This window comes from Homo sapiens, chromosome 19, assembly GCF_000001405.40.
Source record: "Homo sapiens chromosome 19, GRCh38.p14 Primary Assembly".
In the NCBI taxonomy this organism is placed as follows: domain Eukaryota; kingdom Metazoa; phylum Chordata; class Mammalia; order Primates; family Hominidae; genus Homo; species Homo sapiens.
In genome coordinates, this window is record NC_000019.10 from 56,536,156 (window position 1) to 56,558,039 (window position 21,884).

The 21,884-nt window shown below is 42.1% G+C and overlaps 2 protein-coding genes and 1 long non-coding RNA gene across 7 annotated transcripts in view, besides 2 other annotated features; 1 reads left to right on the forward strand and 2 right to left on the reverse strand.

The window, feature by feature from the left end:
• ZFP28-DT (ZFP28 divergent transcript) lies at positions 1–2,579 on the reverse strand. 2 transcript variants are annotated; one of them, NR_183967.1, is made up of 3 exons: positions 2,270–2,579; positions 1,496–1,582; positions 1–177 (listed from the first exon to the last, which is right to left on the reverse strand). It is a non-coding gene; the product is annotated as a ZFP28 divergent transcript (long non-coding RNA). The 2 variants fall into 2 exon arrangements; NR_183966.1 differs by having other exon boundaries at positions 2,098–2,579.
• On the forward strand, positions 792–20,653 carry ZFP28 (ZFP28 zinc finger protein). 4 transcript variants are annotated; one of them, XM_011526463.4, is made up of 8 exons: positions 792–1,643; positions 3,470–3,561; positions 11,353–11,479; positions 11,652–11,747; positions 12,803–12,966; positions 13,912–14,026; positions 14,355–14,450; positions 17,529–20,653. In XM_011526463.4, the coding sequence occupies exons 1-8, from the start codon at positions 1,463–1,465 to the stop codon at positions 19,235–19,237; spliced, it is 2,580 nt and encodes an 859-aa protein (XP_011524765.2). In that variant the 5' UTR covers positions 792–1,462; the 3' UTR covers positions 19,238–20,653. The 4 variants fall into 4 exon arrangements, with proteins under 4 accessions (XP_011524765.2, NP_065879.1, NP_001295369.1 ...); NM_020828.2 differs by lacking the exon at positions 792–1,643 and adding an exon at positions 2,793–3,071; XM_011526462.4 differs by lacking the exon at positions 792–1,643 and adding an exon at positions 3,091–3,365.
• Positions 9,420–21,884, reverse strand: part of ZNF470-DT (ZNF470 divergent transcript) — a 22,447-nt gene continuing 9,982 nt past the window's right edge. Inside the window, exon 2 of the mRNA XM_047439806.1 lies at positions 9,420–11,116. The gene's annotated coding sequence lies outside the window, so the exon portion shown is untranslated. The remainder of the gene's footprint in view (positions 11,117–21,884) is intronic.
• Positions 11,129–12,328: an enhancer, noted in NCBI's record as "BRD4-independent group 4 enhancer chr19:57058653-57059852 (GRCh37/hg19 assembly coordinates)". NCBI's record gives its function as "activates an origin of replication core promoter dependent on BRD2, P300/CBP, MED14 and CDK7 cofactors, and independent of BRD4, by STARR-seq in HCT116 cells {active_cell/tissue: HCT116}" and the evidence as "EXISTENCE:reporter gene assay evidence [ECO:0000049][PMID:35650434]".
• Positions 18,096–19,295: an enhancer, noted in NCBI's record as "P300/CBP strongly-dependent group 1 enhancer chr19:57065620-57066819 (GRCh37/hg19 assembly coordinates)". NCBI's record gives its function as "activates an origin of replication core promoter dependent on BRD2, BRD4, P300/CBP, MED14 and CDK7 cofactors, with strong dependence on P300/CBP, by STARR-seq in HCT116 cells {active_cell/tissue: HCT116}" and the evidence as "EXISTENCE:reporter gene assay evidence [ECO:0000049][PMID:35650434]".

The window sequence follows — 21,884 nt, forward strand, 5'->3', positions numbered from 1 at the left end:
TGTCAATAAAGAAGATAGATTTTATTGCCTTCTCAAGTAACAGCTTCCCATGTAGGTAGGTAGCAGGTCAAGGCAAGAAGACAGCTTTGCTCCATGATGTCATCAAAGGACCTGGTTCCTTCTATGCCATTTCTCCATCAACTCAGGATGCTGTCTTTATCCACATAGGTGATGCCTCTACATTCCAGAACATGAAAGTATTCTGACATATCTTCCTTGGACATGACATATTTTTCTATGTATTGCTGGACTTTGTTTATTGTCACTTTAGGTAGGATTTTAATGTGTATGTTGTCCCTGAAGATTGGAATTCTTTCCCTACTTAAATTCTTTCCCTACTGTCCTTGTCCAGTTTTGGTATCAAGGGTGTCTAGTTTTAAATTCTCCAGTATAGTTTTATAGGATAAGGATTATTTATTGCTTTGGTATTCATGGAAAAGCCTGAGAACTTATTTAATGATTTTCCATTTCTTCTTGAGTCAGTTTTGGTACTTATAATTTTCTCTATGGTAAGCCCCTGCATATGTTTTAAATATATTGAGATAAGGTGATCACAGTATTTGCAAAATTCTAAAAATTTCTGTGATTATGTCCACTTTTTCATTTCTAATACCATTTCTTTGATTGTTTATTTCTCTTTTTTTCTGCTAAGCCATCTTTAGCATAACTTTCATCCTCATGATGCCAAGGTGGCTGTTTGCAGCGGACCCTATCCTTGTTGGACTGAACAAAGGATGACAAACATGGGAATAAAGACAAAGACAAAAGAGTATATTTGGAAGAAGAGGTCTGGGGGCTCCTTGCTTCCAGTGAACACAGGCCCTGAGCCTTTACAGCCCTTCGTATTTATTAGAGTGAATAGGGAGAAGGGGGGTGGTTGTCGGTCAGTAGCTTGATTTACAGCAGGCTTGCAAGACTGCATTCGTCAACCAATAGGCTCTAGATGTCCCATTAGATAACCTCAAGGAGCATGACACCAGGGAGTGATTGCCTTCAGCAAACCTTCTGGTGGCTGGAGCAGAAGCGACTTTGCCCACATTCTGCATTCATGATAAACAGTTTGCTGTTTGATCATATAGCCTCCAGTGGAATGTTGAGTTGGCCACGATCCCTTTGCCAGCTCTCTACAGCTGTTCTACCTGTTGACATCCTGTGTCATACCCAAGCAGGAAGAAGGTTGTGTGAGATGACAAAAGGCCAGAGTTACATGCCAGCTGTGTCTCTTTCCACACATCCACCAAACCCCCAGCAAATGTGTACTTAAAATTCATTGGTTACAGAGCCACTACTCCTTACAAGGAGACTGGGGAGGTGAGTATTATAAGCTGGGCAGATGGCCACTTGAAGAGCATCAATGTTCTGCTGTGGAAGGAGTGCAAAATAGACACCAGAGAGACCATTAGCAGTGTCTGCCACAGCTATTACATGGCTAGGTCCACCTGACTGAAACTAAGCCTTTTCTATGAGACTGAAGTGCTTTGAGAGAAATGCTGACCTTGTCCTTTCTGCAGCTTGCGGCTTTCAGTCACCCTTGGATTCAGAGATAGAAGTCATCTTAATTCCATCACTGAGGCCAGGAGACCTGAAAGAAATCAATTCAAGAGTAAGGAGACCAGGCGTGCAGTGTGACTGGGCGTGCAGAGGTCAGTGCATCTGTGATGACTGGTGTAACAGCATCACTGCCTGTGAGCCAGCAAGGCCCTTGGCTCCCAGGATGAAGCTCTCCAGTTCTGATAAGGCCCCTGGGGGAGAGACCGGTCCTAAACATGTTCAAGAATAAATCCATCAGCTAACTTCAGACCGTGATTCACACAGGAAGGGAACTTTAAGAGGTCGCCAGGGCTGGTATTTTTGAGACGTTAGGCAGCCCTCTCTGAGGCGATGACAAGTGAATGGCATAAAGGAGCCAGCCCAGACGAAAATTTGGGGTTAGACTATTTCGACCCAGGACGTGCAAATACATAGGTTACAAAATGGAAAATGGTATTTTGGAGGATGGGAGGCCCGTGTAGCCAGAGATAATGGGAGAAGGTGAGGGGGCACCCAAAACAATCCCACAAGCTCTCTACATCCCCCTTCCTAGCCCACACACATCACCCATCAGAGTGATCCTCCGGACTCCGGAGGCCCCCAAGATTGCCTTTCCCTTCCCGGTCGGCAGTGACGCTCCCGCAAGGAGCTGACGCCCAGGCCCTTAGCACCTGTCACAGCCAAGCACCCTTTTACTCCGGCCCTGCGGTCCCACCCCTCGCCGCAAGCCCCGCCTCACCCGGTCTGCCGCTGCGCCTGCGCGACTCCCAGAAGCCTTTGGGGGGTGGGTGTGTAGTCAGAGCGGCCTCTGCTTCCGGCCACACCCAGGCCCAGCGTTGGCCACCACTTATGCGGCGGCTGCGGTCCAGGGACAAGTGAGAGCGACCCGCAGAGGGCAGGACGGACGGGCGTTGCATAGGCCCGGGGCCAAACCGTATCTTGCAACCTGAGCTCCGAGGGCCGCCGCATCCGTCCCTGCTTGGGACTACGCTTCCCAGCGGGCATTGCGCCGAGGCCACGCCCGGTTCCGGCGGCGCTGCCTGCGCACTGGAAGTGGGAAGCGCCGGGCTTCTCTAGGCTGAGGGGCGGGGCGGGGCGGGGCGGGGCGGGGCGGGGCGGGGCGGGGCGGGGCGGGGCGGGGCGGGGCAGCGGGGAGGGGTGGGGAGGGGCGGGGCGCGGCCGGGGGCGGGGCGGCTCCGCGGCGCGGCCCAGTGGATGCCGGGCCATGGGGGAGCGCGCGCGGGGCTGTTCGCTGGGCGTGGCGGGCGGGTGTGGCCAGGGGTGTGGGTCTGTGAGGGACCGGTCGGAAGGGCGTCGCGCGGCCTCGGGTGACATGCGGGGGGCGGCGAGCGCGAGTGTCCGCGAGCCGACGCCGCTCCCGGGTAGAGGCGCCCCCCGCACAAAGCCCCGGGCGGGCCGAGGCCCGACTGTAGGGACTCCAGCCACCTTGGCCCTCCCTGCCCGGGGAAGGCCGCGCTCAAGGAATGGCCTCGCATCCAAAGGCCAGCGAGGAGCGGCCCCTACGGGGCCTGGGCACAGAGGTGAGAGTGACAGGTGTTTGGGGCCGAGCGGACAGGGACGAATTCATCTCGGGATGAGATCTGGGAGGGGGTTGGGCTCTCGGGGACCAGTTGCTGGAGAACTGTGCCCCTGGTCTTTGAAGCTGGTGGAGTGGGAGAATCTGAAGATTTGGAAGCTCAACTGATTCAGAGCAGCAAGCCGCGGTAAAAGGGTGTTGACTTTCCCAGGGTGACTCTAACTAGACGCTTTTCCTGTTTTCGTGCTCCCAGGGAGGAAAAAAACCTATCTCCACGTTGTGGCAGTCCCTAGGCAGGGTAATGATCTGATCCCACCTTTTCATGCAGGAAGGGACGTTTCTAGGCTGGTGATTTGGGACTGTGGTGTAGACCTGGTCTCTAGCTACTCCTTTCTCTTTCAGCTCTGCCTTCCAGGGACACTGCTCTTCCCCAGGAGAGAAACAAGAAGCTGGAGGCTGTGGGGACAGGAATTGAACCTAAAGCCATGTCCCAGGTGAGTTGGCATTTCATCTCTTGTCTCTGAAATGCAGTCTTGCTTTTCGGGACTTAATGTTGCTTATTTTCTTGAAAGTTTTCAGTTTAAGAGACCTGTTTGGGCGCGGGTTTCTATTTCTTCACGTTCTAGTGAAGTGATGGGCTACGGGGAAAAGTTTAAACTGCCCGGGGCCTCGATGCCTGCTTCTTCTTCATCCCAATCAGCCTTCATTCTTGATTGATGAAATGATTCAGCCTCTCCCTTGTACCGCTTTTCTCAGAGGGACTCTGATGGAGGAATTGTGCCCCTTGAGGAACACGGCAGACTCTTCTGCTATACATGGTTTGTTTGGTGACCACTTTGTGCCAGCCACTGAGCAAACCAATAGCTAAGCCCTAGTCCCTGCTCTGGAGCTCACAGCCTGTTGACCCAATGTCAAGGAAACAAGCAAGATTCTAGAATGTGATCATCCTTGGGCCAAGTATTATGAGCGAGGACTACAAGGCGCTCCTGGCTTCCAGCCTCCTGTAGCGGAAGGGTAGGCCTATTTACCAAGGAGGTGATTTTTGAGCCTTGCCTTGAAGGGAGAGAAGATGTTTGGGAGGCACAGTAAAGAAAGACAACATTTTAGGGAGAGGAGGCGCAATATGAAAGGCTTTTCCACTTGATTTTGTGGCTTTAAAACATGCCAGTAAATAGTTGTGTTTGTTTCGGTTGGCTTCTCCTATAAATATCATAGCTAGCTCATTAATAGATGAACCATTTCACTTCCACTGAGGCCTCAAAAAATATATGTACAGATGAACCAGCTTCCAGTTGTCCTACCCAAACTGCTCTTGAGTGGGTTACTGTGATCTTCACATTACCAGATGCAGTGCTCAATTCTTAGTCTTTTTTGACTATCATTGGTATTTGAAATAGCTCAGAGGCTGGCAAACTTGTGCTGGATGAGGCCACAGCAGAAAATATGTTAGGCTTTGAAAGTCCTGCTGCATCTACTCCTTTCTGCTCTTATAGAGCTAAAGTAGCCAAAGACAATATGTAAATGAATGGATGGGCTGTGTTCCAGTAAAACTTCAGTTACAAAACAGGTGGCTACCTATCCCTCAAATAGCTCATCCCTGTCCTTCAATAGGCCCCCTTTTTTCCCTTGGCTACTGGGATCTCACACTCATCTGACTTTCATCTTCCTGACTGCTCAGTTTTTGCCACAGTTCTTACCTCCGTGACTTGAACAGAGTGTGCCTCAGCACTCTGCTCATGGCCCTTTCTTTTTTTGTCTGCATGCTGTCTCCTGGGGATAGTAGCCTGTTCCTTGTCTGTACAACCTACCCACATGGTGGCTCCTCCCAGATTCACATTGTGAGCCCAAACCTCTCCTCTGAGCCGCCGGCCTGTGTATCCTGCTCCACTCCTCTGCCTGAGTGTCTGATGGGTAACTCAAGACAGCCTGTCCAGACCCGAAGTCCTGAGAGTCTCCCATAAACCAGCTCCTCCCACAGTTTGAGTCTTAGTCAGTGGCCGTTTCATCCTCTCAGTTACTCAGTCCGGAAGCCTTGTCATGATTGGCTCATTTCTTGCCTTTTCCTTCCATATTTGGTCCTGATGCAAATCCTGTCAGTTCTATTTGCAAATTATGTGCAGAATCTGGCAGTTTTCATCACATCTATCACCAGCAGCAGGTCCAAGTCCTCCTTTTACTGTGGGCTTCTTGACTGTGCTTCTGTGACCTCCTGCTTCTGCTCACGCTCCCCACAGCCCCTTCCCGATGAGCAGCCAGAGGGGTCTATTCAAACATGTCACCTTGTGTCACGCTGTGCTCAGGACCCTCCAGTGGTTTCTCTGAATAAAAGCCAAAACTCTTCCTGTTACTGACCAGGCCCTACATGACCTGGCTCCTTGTTACCCCTGACATCTACATCACTCTCTTCTTTCTGAAAAATCGCCTTCTCATTTTCCTGCTCACCCTGTCTAGAATTTCAGAGCCTCCTACCTGTTCTTCACATCCCTCTTCCCTGCTTTGCTTTTTTCTTTTAGTACTTTTCTTTTGAGACAGAGTTTTGCTCTGTCACTCAGGCTGGAGTACAGTGGCGTGATCTCGGCTCACTGCAACCTCCGCCTCCTGAGTTGAAATGATTCTCCTTCCTCAGCCTCCCGAGTAGCCACCACACCTGGCTAATTTTTTTTTTTTTTTTTTTTTTTTTTTTTTTTAGAGACAGGGTTTCACCATGTTGGCCAGGCTGGTCTCGATTTCCTGACCTCAAGTGATCCGCCCACCTCAGCCTCCCAAAGTGCTGGGATTACAGCCATGAGCCACTGTGCCTGGCCCTCGTAGTACTTTTCAACATACTATATACAGAAATCCCACGTATACCAAAATTTGCACTTATTCATCAGCCATGTGGAGCCTGCAGATATGAGAAGTCAGCCCTCAGTGGACACAGGTTTTCCATACCACAAATAATCTTTTTTGAGACAAGGTCTCACTCTGTCACCCAGGCTGGAGTGCAGTGGTGCCATCACGGCTCACTGCAGCCTTGACCTCCCCAGGCTCAAGCAGTGCTCCCATCTCAGCCTCCGAAGTAGCTGGAATTACAGGCATGTGCCACCATGCCCAGCTAATTTTTGTATTTTTTGTAGAGATGGGGTTTTGCCATGTTTCCCAGGCTGGTCTCGAACTCCTGGCCTCAGGCAACCGCCCGCCTTGGGCTACCAAATTGCTGCGATTAGAGGTGTGATTCCCCGCGCCCAGACAATAATTGTATTTTCAGTCTGCATTTGGTTGAAAAAATTTGCATATAGGTGGACCCTTGCAGCCCAGATCCATGTTGTTCGAAGGTCAAATGTATTTTACTTAATTTATCTCAGTTTCTCTTGTCTCATTTCCTTACTTCATAGGCAAGGATTTGGGGCAGTTTTGCCTAATGTCTGATACAGAAAATATTTGGTGGATGAATGTTTGAATATAGTCTTAAAGTTCTCTTGTGGCCAGTGTTTTGATATTTAGTATAGTGTTAGAATAGTCATTTTTATACCTGAAAATGTGCTTCGTCCCTGATTTTTTTATTTTGTTTTTTTGCTTTTAGAGACAGGGTCTCACTCTGTCACCTAGGCTGGAGTACAGTGGCACAGTCATAGATAATTGCAGCCTCAAACTCCGGGCCTCAAGCAATCCTCCCACCTTGGCTTCCAAAGGAGCTGGAATTGTAGGTGTGAGCCACCATGCCCAGCCCCTGATTATTTTGTATGAATACATTCCTAGAAGTTTTTCTTGCCTCATGGATTAAGGTTTCCTAAGCTTATGTGAAATCGGAATACTTCTAAAATTATTTTTGGATAGAACAGCAGTGGTGCCTCAAAAGCTAGAATTCATGTTTTGAAAAAAATGTACACTTCATCAGGAATAATAGTTATTACCAAATAAATGTTTATTTGTATGTTTTAAAAATTAACTGAATTGAATTTAAACAAATCTTTTTAGTGTATTTTTTCTATAAAGTACTTCATATTCATTCTTTTCTATGAAATTTCAACAGAAAGATTTTTCTGTAAGTATAAAGTTGCTTTTATTTTTTGTTGGTATTCTTTTAATGTCTCTATCTTTGTGTGTGTGCGTGTGTTTATATATTATATAGAATATATTATATATGTATATTTTATATATATATTAATATATGTATATTATATATATATGTATATATAATTTTTTTAAGAGATGGGAGTCTCACTGTTTTGCCCAGACTGGAGTATATTGGCTATTTTCAGGCACAGTTATGGTGTACTACAGCCTCAAACTCCTGGGCTCAAGGAATTCTCCTGCCTCAGCCTTCTGAGTGGCTGGGCCTATAGGCGTGTGCCACCATACCCAGTTCATATGTATATTAAGATGAGTTAACTTACATCAGATGCCTATATCAGGAGTAGATTCTGTGCCTGTATAATGTTTTCTCTGTGGTATAGTGTAAAAATGTGAAACCCATTTTGAAGTCTGCATATTTATGTTGCAGCAACAGGAATAAGAACAGGACCTGCACATTTGACAATGTTTTGTCTCCACCTAAATTAAGTAGGTTGATCCAGACATCAGTTAGGGAAAGTTCATTTTATTTTTATCTGAAAACATGTTTTCTACTGGAACTTGTTTCACTGTCAGGGTGAATGGATACTAAGTATTACTGCTATTATCAAAGTGGAACCTTTTAATAGAAGTAGAATGGCAAAGTGGTCAAAGGTCATGGACTAGGTTCACATGCTAGCCCTAGCATCTAATCATTGCGTAACCTTCAGGCAACTCAAGTGACCACATTTTCTTCATCTGTAAAATGAGGAAAATAATTGGACCTGCCTCAAGCAGTTCTTGTAAGGATTAAGTTAAGATGTGTATAGTGCCTGGATTGAGGTACCTGGCACATAGTAAGGACTTACTAGTGTTAGCTGGCAGCATCCTCATGTCATCATGACGGTTTTAGAAATTTACAGGCAAGACACTTAGATGGCGTACTTCAAAAAAAGTGTTTAATATAGGACCGAACTGGGCAAATTATGGCCTATAGGCCAAATCCAGCCCACCACCACCTCCTTTTGTGTGGCCCACCAGCTACAAATGAGTTCTACATTTTTCAGTGGTTGAAAAAAATCAAAAGAAGAAGAATACATGAAAATTAAATGAAAGTCACATTTTGGTGTCCATAAAAAAAATTTCATTGTAGCACAACATACTTGTTTGTTTATGTATTATCTATGACTGCTTTTGTGCTACAGTGGCAAAATTGAAGAGTTGCGGCCAAGGCTATTTGGCCCACAAAGCCTAAAATATTTACTTTCTGGCTCTTTACAGAAAAACTTTGCTGACACCTGAAGTGGAGGTTAAGAGCATGGACTGTGGAGTCAGACTCCTGGGTTCAAAACCCAGCTCTACAGCTGACTGTCTGTGATCCTGGGCACATTACAGCTCAATATTTTCTCATCTGTAAAATGGGAATAGTAATAGTACTGACTATTAGGATCGTTGTGAGGATTAAATAAGCTAATATATAAGTATATAGAATTGCGTCTGAAGTGTTGTAAGTGCTTTCAGCTATTGTTATTGCTGTTATTTACAGTAAAAGACATTTTTAAAACAAAAGTCATTGATTCTATACATAAAGAGCTGTCCGAATAAACAGAAAATGTCTTAGGAGGATATATGTATATTGCTAACGTTGGGTCCCTCTACGTGATTACATTGAAGGCATTTAACAAACCACTGGTACAAAAGCAGATCACTAATGCATAGCATGATCAACCTGGGAAACTAGGGTTGATTCTTCTTGGCAAGCAAATAAGTTCCTCTTCTTTTATGCCAAGATGCTTCAACTTGCAAAATTATTGCTGAGAGCTGACCAGCATTTGTTTTAGACTAGCTTCCTCAGGTAGCCATATTAGTGTGTCTTTTGCTCAAGGACATTAAGCAGTTCTTGGCTGTTTCCTGCAAGTATTACCTCATGGTTTACACTGCAGGGGGCCTTTCAGTCCCCAGCTTAGGAGACTTCTCCATGATGAGTTTACCATCAAGAGTGTAGCTCTGCAGTTGACTGATTCAACTCCCTCTGCAGTTGATATTCACTCAAATTGGGATATCACTTACAAAACCCTTTTGACCTATTTTTACACAATTCAGTTACAAATGTCCTTAAAGTTTGGTAGCAGGTTAAAGAACAAGTGATTGTATATTATTCAGCAGATATCAAACCTCAAAGGGACTTTTGTTTCTAGTAGAATAATGTGAATCTTTAAAAGGTTCAGCTCTTGGTTGGTGTTGTGGTTTGTTAAGTGAGGTATTTAAATTAGGTTTTGTGTAGTCAGATGCAGCATGGTGAGGGACACTTAGAGCAGAATGGCAAAAAGATTGTTTATTACTCACAGATTCCAGAGAACAGTGGCCAGCACACCTTGCAGGGCTTACTGGAAGGGCTTGGAGACATTGAGGACACACATGCCCAGCCAAAGGGTGGGGACCAAGAGAGAGGGAGGGACCTGTGGGCTGGAGCCTTTATTGGGGTTCAGGGCATTATCTAGGTGAGTTTCCCAAGACAGGGTTGGCTTGGATACTTTGAAGGGAGCTCAAGGCTCAGTAAGGGAACTTGAAGGCTACATTATCAGGTTCACCAGGCTTCATGCAGAAGGACAGTAGTCATTTCATAGTATGGGGCCTTTTCTATCTAGAACACACAAATGGGGACTGGGTGAGGACTGCCTGAAAATATATAGGTCAAGGGTGACAAGCAGAGGCAGCATCCCTATGGATGAGAGTTATGACAGTCAGCATCATTACAAGTCATGTTCACTGCATGCTTCCATTGTGCCTTGCACGTTCTAAGTGCTGTGTATGTGTTGCCTCATTTAATCCAAAACATAATCTACAAGGTTGGTATTGTTGCCTTTTCCATTTTATAGCTGGGGAACTGAGGCACAGAGGCGTTAGGTAACCAAGTGAGGTTTCAGAGCTGGTGAGTGCTGGAATTGTAATTCAGCTTTTGGGGTAGTCCAACTGTTTCGCATGTTCATTTCAGTTTAGACTTTGAAAATCCCACAGCTGCTAGTCAGTTAAATCTGCCTTCTGTTAGCCACAGGTTCCTGGGATTAGAGTTGCAACTGAATAGATGTTTAAAATACATTGGAACGTATCAGAGTTGTAGGCTGAATTTGTAAAACTATGCTCCATAAAAATCTGCCAGCAGGAGCTGAGCAGCCCCATCTTGCCAGTTGGTCAAGAAAATCCTGCTCATGCCAAGCTGTTAGCAAATGTGCTCCTGATAGCTCCTCATAATGCCTAGCTTCTCCAAGATGGCACCTTGGTTCGTAAAGGCATTTCATTAATTAAAAACATTATAGTGCTTTTTGTTTTTCATTCTTATTACATATTCATTTTAGAAAAAAAAATTGCTAGATTTTTTTTTAATGACCTCTACTGAACACTGAGAGTAAAAATAGAAATTCTTAGAACCCAGTTTAGTCATGAATAATATTGATGCTTTGAGGTTCATCTCAAGTTTATTGCCCAGTTCTTGTGCTGCTTCAGGCCACTCACATGTCCCCATGTTGGACAGTGCTGTAGTACCTGTTGTGCATAGAACAAGTTAGTCTTTGTTATTTATAGTTTTGAATTGATGTCAGGGGTTTTTCTTGTGGCTGCCTCCTTTCACCTCCACAAAACTGCAAGTTCTCCAAAGTCAGGGGCTGTCTCCATATTTTTCTCTTTTACCTGGAGTTTAAGACAGAATGAGGCTAGCTGTACAATACCTAACTAGATCTCCACAGTTCTGAGTTTATAGTCTCTTACTCAAAATGAAGACAAGGAATCTTTAGATCCCTATATTAGTTTGTTAGGGCTGCCAGAACAAATACCACAGAATGGGTGTCTTAAACAACAGAAATTTCTTTTCTCAAGCTTCTGGAGGCTGGAAGTCCAAGATCAAGGTGCCTGCAGGTTTGGTTTCACCTGAGGCCTCTCTCCTTGGCTTGCAGACGGCCGTCTTCTCTCTGTGTCCTCACGTGGTCTTTTCCCTGTGCCTGCACACCGTGGTATCTCTTCCTGTTTTAATAAGGACACCAGACAGATTGGGTTAGGGCCCCACCCATATGACCTCATTTAACCCTAATTACCTCTTTGTAGGCCCTGTCTCTAAATACAGTCACATTCAAAAGTACTGGGGATTAGGAGTTTAATGTAGGAGTTTTGTCAGGGGACACATTTCTTTCTATAACAAACCCCCAGTCATGTGGGGGCATGAGCACTGGTTGAGCAAGAACATGGTTATATCATTTCAGGGCTTGGTGACATTTGGGGATGTGGCTGTAGATTTCTCCCAAGAGGAGTGGGAGTGGCTGAACCCCATTCAGAGGAACTTGTACAGGAAGGTGATGTTGGAGAACTACAGGAACCTGGCATCGCTGGGTAAGGGCTCCCACCCCTTTTCCCACCCCTCACCCTACCCACGTCCTGGACTAAGAAGCCTTTCATGCCTTTATCACCCAGACCTGCACTGCCCTCTTGCGTCAAGCCAAGGGGACTGCATCTCAGTCTGGACAGCCACACAGTATGACCAGGTTGTTTTTTATGTGTCTAGGACTTTGTGTTTCTAAGCCCGATGTGATCTCCTCGTTGGAACAAGGAAAAGAGCCTTGGACAGTGAAGCGAAAGATGACAAGAGCCTGGTGCCCAGGTGAGTGTGGGAGAACCAGGTAGGGTGAGGCCACTGCTGGTCATAGTTCAGCTGACTCAGACACGCAACATCTTCAGCAGACTCTTCCTAAGCCTCTTGCTTAGGAATATCTGTTATTTTTACTATTTGGGAATACAGAAATTTCAACTACAGTATTATTTCCAGAACAGCAAATTATTAAGACAAGGAATTAGAATTATAGATTTCTTTCAGAGGTTTTATCCTAACAGGAAATGGTTACAGTTTCTAAAGCATTGGGAATCTTACAAGGTTTCTTTGTTCAATTCACACTTCAAAGGAAACGCTTGCATTGACAACAGGACAAGTTACTGACAGTTATAAATTAAAGTGACTCACATGGGTCATCATATAGCATAAGAGAACAAGAATGTGTGAAAGTTTCCAATTTAACATCATATGAAATCACATACTTTGAGCTAGTTTAATGAGATAGAACTGTTTTTTCTTCCTGCAGATCATTCATCTCTTCTTGAGACTAGTTAATTGTGAAGACTTACATTTTTAAGGCCAGGATCTGGACTTTTATTAGTTAGCATCGTAATAAAAAAAAAGGAGGTATGTAGAGATAGAGATGAAATTTTTTCTAGATGAAATGGACAAGGAGTGAAAAAGAGTTGACTTAAAGCTGAAATAAGGATCATATGGCAGTTTTCTTCTATAGCCTCCACTTTCTCTTTATATTAGACATTTTATTTTACATTTAAGTCTTTGTGAGCTCCCTTATCTCTTGATTTTTAATTGCTTTTTCCAGTCTTCTGCTAAAAACATAATGTGAACTCTTATTCAACTTTTAGGTGGGAAAGGTCTTATTGTGGCCTTTAGGACTATGGCTACACAAATTTAGGAATGTAGGGTTGGTTGAATATTGCTAGTAATATAAGAAAGCTTTCAAAATGATATGCTTTTCATTTTCTTCCATAAAAATAAATGACTATATGCTTTTTTGTGGCTTTTAATTTAACGGTTGCATTTTGGAATTTTTCTTCATACTAACACATGATAAAAGATAAATTTACCTTCTTTACGTCTTTCAGACTTGAAGGCTGTGTGGAAGATCAAGGAGTTACCTCTCAAGAAGGACTTCTGCGAAGGAAAGCTATCCCAGGCAGTGATAACAGAGAGACTCACAAGCTATAATCTGGAGTACTCTCTGTTAGGGGAACACTGGGATTATGATGCTCTGTTTGAGACACAGCCGGTAAGTCACAAGACAAATTTCAGGCAAGAGGAAGGATCCTTCATGAGGAAACTCTTCTTGAGGGAAGAGACCATGACTACAACAACTATAAGAGAAGTTTTCATTTGAATACAATGCTTCTTATAGACAGATTATCCCCTCAGAACAGAGAGTGCCTAATCTCCATACACATAAGAACAGTGGAGGGGGAAATTGAGTTGTAATGAATTACAAACAAATCTGTCAAGGTCAGAAATGTTTGACTTGTGATGAATGTAAGAAAGCTTTGAGCAGAGGCCAGGCGCGGTGGCTCACGCCTGTAATCCCAGCACTTTGGGAGGCCGAGGCGGGTGGATCACAAGGTCAGGAGATCGAGACCATCCTAGCTAACATTGTGAAACCCTGTCTCTACTAAAAATACAAAAAATTAGCCGGGCGTGCTGGCGGGCGCCTGTAGTCCCAGCTACTCAGGAGGCTGAGGCAGGAGAATGGCATGAACCCGGGAGGCGGAGCTTGCAGTGAGCCGAGATCGCGCCACTGCACTCCAGCCTGGGTGACAGAGCAAGACTCCGTCTCAAAAAAAAAAAGCTTTGAGCAGAATATCAACCCCTCCTTTTCATCAAAGATTTCATACAAGAGAAAAACTCTGTGGACTTGTTGAATAATTTGTATGAATATGGGAAAGCCTTCCGTCTGTTAAAAGGTTCATACTGTGTGTAAGTTCATACTGTGTGTAAGTATGACAAACTCTCCATAGCAGAAAGTTTCTCCTATTTTTCTGTGTTTTTCCCCAAACATGTATGCTATAACTAAGCCCTGTCATTATTTGACCTGGTGTACCAGAACTTAAGTTGCAGTTCTTGGTATGGAGTGCCTTTTTTGCAGTGTGGACACAGTCCATCCCACTGAGACCAGGTGAGTTCACGAACATGGTTTGATTTAAAAAACGTGCTTTTACCATTGCAGGGCTTGGTGACTATCAAAAACCTGGCTGTTGACTTCCGCCAGCAGCTACACCCAGCTCAGAAGAATTTCTGTAAGAATGGGATATGGGAGAACAACAGTGACCTGGGATCAGCAGGTAAGGATGTCCCTCTCCCATATTTGAATCTATCGTCGGGTACCTCCATTTCCAAACTTCAGTTTTGAATTATGGAGGAGGGAGGGGGTGTCTTCTGACATGCTGGCCTGAATTTTGTGGATTCCTAAGATAAGAATTTGGCATTTGTAGAGGTGAAAGTTGGTGTCTTTGTTAGGCTTGAAGCGTTATCTTCTTGTGTCTTTCAGATCCTACTCACCTGTTTTTCTGTTTCTTTCAGCAGTAACACTTTTCTATCAACAAGGAAGTGGTTCTCAATTTTAGGATGCCAAGACTATTGGCCAAACCTCATCTCTTTTCACTTTTTCAGGACATTGTGTGGCTAAGCCAGATTTAGTCTCTTTACTAGAGCAAGAGAAGGAGCCCTGGATGGTGAAGCGAGAGCTGACAGGAAGCCTGTTCTCAGGTGAGTGCAGGAGAGCCTGGTGTGGAAAATCTACTGCAAGAGAGAGCGGAGCTTTTACCAAAAAGGCTGCATCCTCACTAATATACAGTAGGAAACTTTACCCAGGGTCTCTGGGTCTGGAAAGAAAATTGAACTCTGGGAGTTCCAAATAATTCTTTCCTCCTCCTTTGCCCCCTTCTCTCCAGTAACTGCCATTTCCCTGAAGTTCCTTCTTTTCTTGGCCACTGGGACGTGTATCATCCACTTGCTTCCTTAAATGATCTTTTCTGGACCCTGATGCACTTTTGAGCTGACTTCCAAAGGTTTTCTCTTCTGTGGTTAAATGGCCTATTGTTTTCATCATGCATCCATTCCTGTGAGAACCACAAATTGAAAGTTATGGGATTGAGCCACTCTGCTGAGTATTGGCAGGCGATTGGAAAAAGGGAGAATTACACATAAATGTAAGCCATCAGTGAATTACTCTAATGGAAAGGATAAGACATGTTTATGGATAGCTTGCATGAAGTAGAGTTTGCAGAATTTCAAATAGGGCATTATAGAGACAAAGGAGATGTTGTTCCCAGTGGTGTCTATGTTTTAGTAGGACAGGTGGGTAGAAGTTGAATTGCAAGAAGGTGGAAGTAAAGGATCTTTTCCTCTTGATGCACAAGGGAAAGAAAGGAAATTTCCATAGAAAATAATGGTTTGTAGAAAATGTAATTGTTTACTGTTTGGCAAAAGAATATAAAACCGTGACGTTATCACAACATACACCTTAGATCCATTTAAGTCAGGATAAACACACATTTTTTCACATAGTAGAAATTACAGTGTATATTCAGTTACGCATACACGTTTTTCATGTGGATTCCACGTTGTATATACCATTGCTCACTTAGGTTGCTTTACATTTCTTAGTATTAAAGATACAATTATAATAGATTTTTTTCAAGTTAAGTGAAAACTACACATTTTGGGGATTGCTGTATTCCTGGATATGAGCACCTGCTAGGCTCTGAAAGTTTTTTTGTTTTTGGTGACTAGCAACAATTAGATGTATGAGTTTAATTGCATCTTGAAAGTATTGGTTATTTACATGAAAACTTTTGCTCATTATTTGTTGAAAGATTATACACTAAAATTATTCTTTTTTTATGAAAGAAGTTGAACATTTTTTCGTAAATTTGGTTTTTCTCTTATCTTCTTGTAAAATGTCTGTCATTTGTACCCAGTTCTCTCTTGTGTGTTAAATATTTTCTTAACAGTCTCAGTGACTGCTATGTATATAAGCATACTAATTCTGTGATATATTGTCTCAAACTATTTTCACATATGGCAATAAGAGTTTTAATTTTAATTAGGTCTTTTAAAATTATGACATGTAAAAATTTTCAATTTTTATATAGTCCAGTATATTATTTCTAATGTGATTTCTCCTATTTGTGTGGCTAACAACTTGACACATATAGTTCTATTTCATTTTTAATGACTATTTAGTATTATATGAATATATATAATTTATTTAAATTATTTACTGTTGAGTATATTTAAACATTTAGGAGGTCTTCTCCAGTTTTCACCTATAATCAACAGTGGTCCAGTTTGTACATATCTTCTTGCTTACATGTCAGAATATTTCTTGAAGATATATGCTTGGAAATGAATTTGCATGGTCGAAGTATATGTATTTTTAAAGTGTCATGGATATTTTGCTGTACCGTTGGTAAAGAATATATGAGAATACTGTTTCTAGACATCATCACCAATATGGGTATTTTGTAGTTTAAAAAAAATTTTGCCAAGCTGCTAGATGAAAAATGTTTTATTTAATTTGCATTTCCCCAACTACTTACGATGTTGAGAATATGTGCTCTTAAATCTGTTTAGAGTTTGTATTCTATTCATAGTGTGTTTATACTCATTAGTCACATTTCTATTGGGTTGTATATTTTCCTGTATTTATGCAACATTGATATGAATGCTATTTTTTAATAAGTTTGATAAAATTTTTCCCCAATTTTGTGTGGTCTAGAAGTTTGCATATGGTATTTCTTACTATATAGTAGCTTAACTTGGGAATTATCTTCATTTATAGAAGCACGTACTTTGTTGATTTTTTCATTTGTTTCACTCCTATCTCTTAAAAAATGAATAGATGTATAGTCCCATTTGAATCATATAATACATTTGTTTGACCTTCTGTAACTTAATTATTTCTCTCTCCTTTATCACCTTCCTTCCTTTTCTTTCTTTCCTTCTCATTTTTCCCTTCTTTCCTTACCTTTCTCTTCTGTATTTTGCTGTGTGGCCTGTTTTTTGTTTGTTTTATTTACATATTTTTATTATAGAAGAGTACACATAAAATTTAACCATTTTGAAGTGTACAATTCAGTGACAGTATATTATGTGAGGTGATATGGTAATTAGCTTGATTGTGGCAAACATTTCACCATGTATAAGCATATCAAAACATTTTATACCTTAAATATATACAATTTTTATTTGTCAACTATGCCTCAATAAAGCTGGAAAAATATTGCCAAAAAGAGAGAAATTGCAAGGCTTCATTATAGAATGGCCAGAGAATTGAGGATGTTTTCAGGCTTGTGGAAGTAACCAGGAAAATGTGAAAATAATTGTTTTTTTTTTTTGAGTCAGATTCTGGCTCTGTTCCCCAGGCTGGAGTGCAGTGGCTTGATCATAGTTTACTGCCACATCAACCTCCTAGGCTCAAGCAATCCCCCTGCCTTTGCCTCCTGAGTAGCTGGAACTACAGGCACATACTACCATGCCTGGCTAATTTTAAAAAGTTTTTTAGAGATAGGGTCTTGCTATGTTGTGCAGGCTATGTTGTCCTGGCCTCAAGTGATCCGCCTCAAGTGATCTGCCTCAGGTGATCCACCTCAGCCTCCCAAAGCACTGGGATTACAGGTGTAAGCCACTGTGCCTGGCCCTAAATGTAATAGTTTTTAGAGCTGTAAAATGTATGTTGATGAATTCACCAATTAGTGAATTAATTCACTAGTTTTCCTTTTGGCAGATTCCTTTTTCCTAGCACACGAAAAAGGAAATATGTGTTTTCTTGGTATCTTTCAGGCCAGCGATCTGTACATGAGACCCAGGAATTATTTCCAAAGCAAGATTCATATGCTGAAGGGGTAACAGACAGAACCTCAAACACTAAACTTGATTGTTCCAGTTTCAGAGAAAATTGGGATTCTGACTATGTGTTTGGAAGGAAGCTTGCAGTAGGTCAAGAGACACAATTCAGGCAAGAGCCAATTACTCATAACAAAACCCTCTCTAAGGAAAGAGAACGTACATATAACAAATCTGGAAGATGGTTCTATTTGGACGATTCAGAAGAGAAAGTTCATAATCGTGATTCAATTAAAAATTTTCAAAAAAGTTCAGTGGTAATAAAACAAACAGGCATCTATGCAGGAAAAAAGCTTTTCAAGTGTAATGAATGTAAGAAAACTTTTACCCAGAGCTCATCTCTTACTGTTCATCAGAGAATTCACACTGGAGAGAAACCTTATAAATGTAATGAATGTGGGAAGGCCTTTAGTGACGGCTCATCCTTTGCCCGACACCAGAGATGTCACACTGGCAAGAAGCCCTATGAGTGCATTGAGTGTGGGAAAGCTTTCATACAGAACACATCCCTTATCCGTCACTGGAGATACTATCATACTGGGGAGAAACCCTTTGATTGCATCGATTGTGGGAAAGCCTTCAGTGACCACATAGGGCTTAATCAACACAGGAGAATTCATACTGGAGAGAAACCTTACAAATGTGATGTATGTCACAAATCCTTCAGGTATGGTTCCTCCCTTACTGTACATCAAAGGATTCATACCGGAGAAAAACCATATGAATGTGATGTTTGCAGAAAAGCCTTCAGCCATCATGCATCACTCACTCAACATCAAAGAGTACATTCTGGAGAAAAGCCTTTTAAGTGTAAAGAGTGCGGAAAAGCTTTTAGGCAGAATATACACCTTGCCAGTCATTTAAGGATTCATACTGGGGAGAAGCCTTTTGAATGTGCGGAGTGTGGAAAATCCTTCAGCATCAGTTCTCAGCTTGCCACTCATCAGAGAATCCATACTGGAGAGAAGCCCTATGAATGTAAGGTTTGTAGTAAAGCGTTCACCCAGAAGGCTCACCTTGCACAGCATCAGAAAACCCATACAGGAGAGAAACCATATGAGTGCAAGGAATGCGGTAAAGCCTTCAGCCAGACCACACACCTCATTCAACATCAGAGAGTTCACACTGGTGAGAAACCCTATAAATGTATGGAATGTGGGAAGGCCTTTGGTGATAACTCATCCTGTACTCAACATCAAAGACTGCACACTGGCCAAAGACCTTATGAATGTATTGAGTGTGGAAAGGCATTCAAGACAAAATCCTCCCTTATTTGTCATCGCAGAAGTCATACTGGAGAAAAACCTTATGAATGCAGTGTGTGTGGCAAAGCCTTTAGTCATCGTCAATCCCTTAGTGTACATCAGAGAATCCATTCTGGAAAGAAACCATATGAATGTAAGGAATGTAGGAAAACCTTCATCCAAATTGGACACCTTAATCAACATAAGAGAGTTCATACTGGAGAGAGATCTTATAACTATAAGAAAAGCAGAAAAGTCTTCAGGCAAACTGCTCACTTAGCTCATCATCAGCGAATTCATACTGGAGAGTCGTCAACATGCCCCTCTTTACCTTCCACGTCAAATCCTGTGGATCTGTTTCCCAAATTTCTCTGGAATCCATCCTCCCTCCCATCACCATAGCCTCGAGACGTCATTTCTGTTTGACTACTCCAGCAGTTTAAAACCCCATCTCCCTGCCCTTTTGTTTTCTTTTTGTCCCTTATTAGTTAGTTCTTCACATAAGTGTAAATGTAACTTATTCACTCCTCTTGTAAAACTTATAGTTTCTTTAAATTGGTTAATGTGTGAGATGTGCTCAGCACAGTGCCTGGTCCATAGTAAGTGCTCAGTAAACTTAGCTGTTTTAAAAACTTTGTATTTGAACATTGAAAAGTTACAGTAGTCAGCTCTGATAAAAAAATGATGCAGTAGGGTGAGGGTAGGAAAAAGCACATTTTCTATCAGGAACAGAATTCTCCAGTAGTGGGTGAGGTTTTGCCTTTGTTGGTTTTAAAACTTGATTCTATAATGCCAAGTTAGTTTTGTGGCTTTCCATCTGACCCTATGTGAATGTAAGGTGATGTGACCTTGTTGGTGAGAAAATTAAACTTTACATTTGACTTGATTTGTTTTAGAAAGTCTAGGGACCATGAATGAATAGGCCAGCTGGGACAAATGAATTTAAAAAATCAGAAAAATGCAAGATTTATATGCATGAAGTTAAAACAACTGACGTTACTCAAGAATTAGAAAACTTTGCAAGATTTGACTTGTTTAAAAATCACATTTATAAGTGAACCGTATTAAAACTTTTAAGGAACCATTCATTGTGAGGTAAACTGATCCAGAATAGGGGTCAGCAAACTATGACTCATGGCCACAGTCTCACTGACTGTTTTTGTATGGTCCATGATCTAGAATTTAAAAAAATTTTAAAGGGTTGAAAAAAGTGAAAAGAATATTTTCAACATGAAAATTATATGAAATTTAAGTTTTGGTGTCTGTAAATAAAGTTTTGTTGGCTTCAGCCACACAGTGATTTACACCTTGATTGTGCTGCTTCCAGGCTGTAGCAGCAGAGTTGAGCAGTTGTGACAGGAGACCATGTGGCCTGCAGAGCCCAAATATCTACTGTCTGATCCTACACAGAAAATGTGTGTGATCCCTGCTATGGAGCAGAGGTTATCAAACTAAAGCCCATGGACCAAATCCTATCTGCTGCTTGTTTTTGTAAATAGAGTTTTATCAAACCACAGCCATGCTTACTTGTTTAGCTATTGACTATGGCTGCTTTAGACAACTGTGACAGACTATATGGCTCGCAAAACTGCAAATATTTCCTATCCTTTAACAGAAAGTTTGCCAACCTCTGCTCTAGAGTAGAGAAAAATGTATAAAAGATTTTAATTTTATGAGGGCAATACAACTGTCACATCAGAAACAAGAAAACAAATGATAAAGGAACTCATTTATCAATAGAGGTGAAAGGAAATTATTAAACTATATTGAAAAATAAAGATGTCAATAAAAGGAGAAATGATATTTTTCTAGATGAAATACTCAATATTGTTAAAATGTTTGTAAATTATAATTCAGTCCCAGTAAGATATATTTACTTTGACGGTAACAGGGAAGCATAATTAGGCAAGAATAGCAAGAAGTTTTTTTTGTTTTGTTTTGTTTTTTGAGATGGAGTCTCACTCTGTTGCCCAGGCTGAAGTGCAGTGGCGTGATCCCGGCTCACTGCAACCTCCGCCTCCCAGGTTCAAGCAATTCTCTGCCTCAGCCTCCCGAGTAGCTGGAATTACAGGCACCTGCCACCACGCCTGGCTAATTTTTGTATTTTTAGTAGAGATGGGGTTTCACCATCTTGGCCAGGCTGGTCTTGAACTCCTGACCTCGTGATCCACCCGCCTTGGCCTCCCAAAGTGCTGGGATTACAGGCATGAGCCACCACGCCCGGCCAAGAATTTTTTTTTTTTTAAGAGATGGAGGCCTCACTCTATCATCCAGGCTGGAGTGCAGTGCTAAGATCCTAGCTCACTGTAACCTTAAAATATTTTTTTTGTAGAGACTGTGTCTCGCTTTGTTGCCCAGGCTGGTCTTGGGCTCCTTGCCTCAAGTGATTCTCCTGCCTCACTCTTCCCCAAAATTTTTGAAATAGATTTCTTTGCATATGAGATTTTAGTATATAATGGCACTATTATTTCAATATCGGGAAAATTATGTTTTGACAATTGGTTATCCACCCTCTCCAAGAAAAAAGTTAGAAGCACATTTACACCTTACAGAGAAATATGACTATCATATTTGACATATCTAATCATAAAATAACATGTTAGAGGCAAATGTAGAAAAAAGGAACGTATTATCAAGTAGGACATGGAGTCCTAGAAGCCATAAAGAAATCGAGAACAAGTTGGGCTATGCAACGATCTAAAACTTCAGCATGGTGAAAGGCACCAAAAACTTGTAAAAGACAGTTGAAGGGAAATGTATACAACTTATAGAAAATAACAGAATGCTGTTACATATACAGAGCAGTGGGGAACAACTTGCCATGCACACTGATAGGCGAATCACCCTGAAGAATCCAAATGGATAAAGAAAATTCGTGAAATTCTTAACCTCATTAATCAGAAGAATATGAATGAAACCACATTTTCCTGGCTCTTGGTAGATTACAATATAAAATTTGGATAATATCCAGTAATGGTATTAGTGTGGGAAAACAGGTACTTGATCACTATTAGCAGTGTAACTTCGTCCCCTATCTCCTCGGATGGCA

Bases quoted from the DNA above. Each gene is read 5' to 3' on its own strand.
- ZFP28 (NM_020828.2), top strand. From the start codon at position 2,864: ATGCGGGGGGCGGCGAGCGCGAGTGTCCGCGAGCCGACGCCGCTCCCG. The intron at 3,072-3,469 runs GTGAGAGTGACA...TTTCTCTTTCAG, and splicing joins TACGGGGCCTGGGCACAGAG to CTCTGCCTTCCAGGGACACT. The intron at 3,562-11,352 runs GTGAGTTGGCAT...ATATCATTTCAG, and splicing joins AACCTAAAGCCATGTCCCAG to GGCTTGGTGACATTTGGGGA.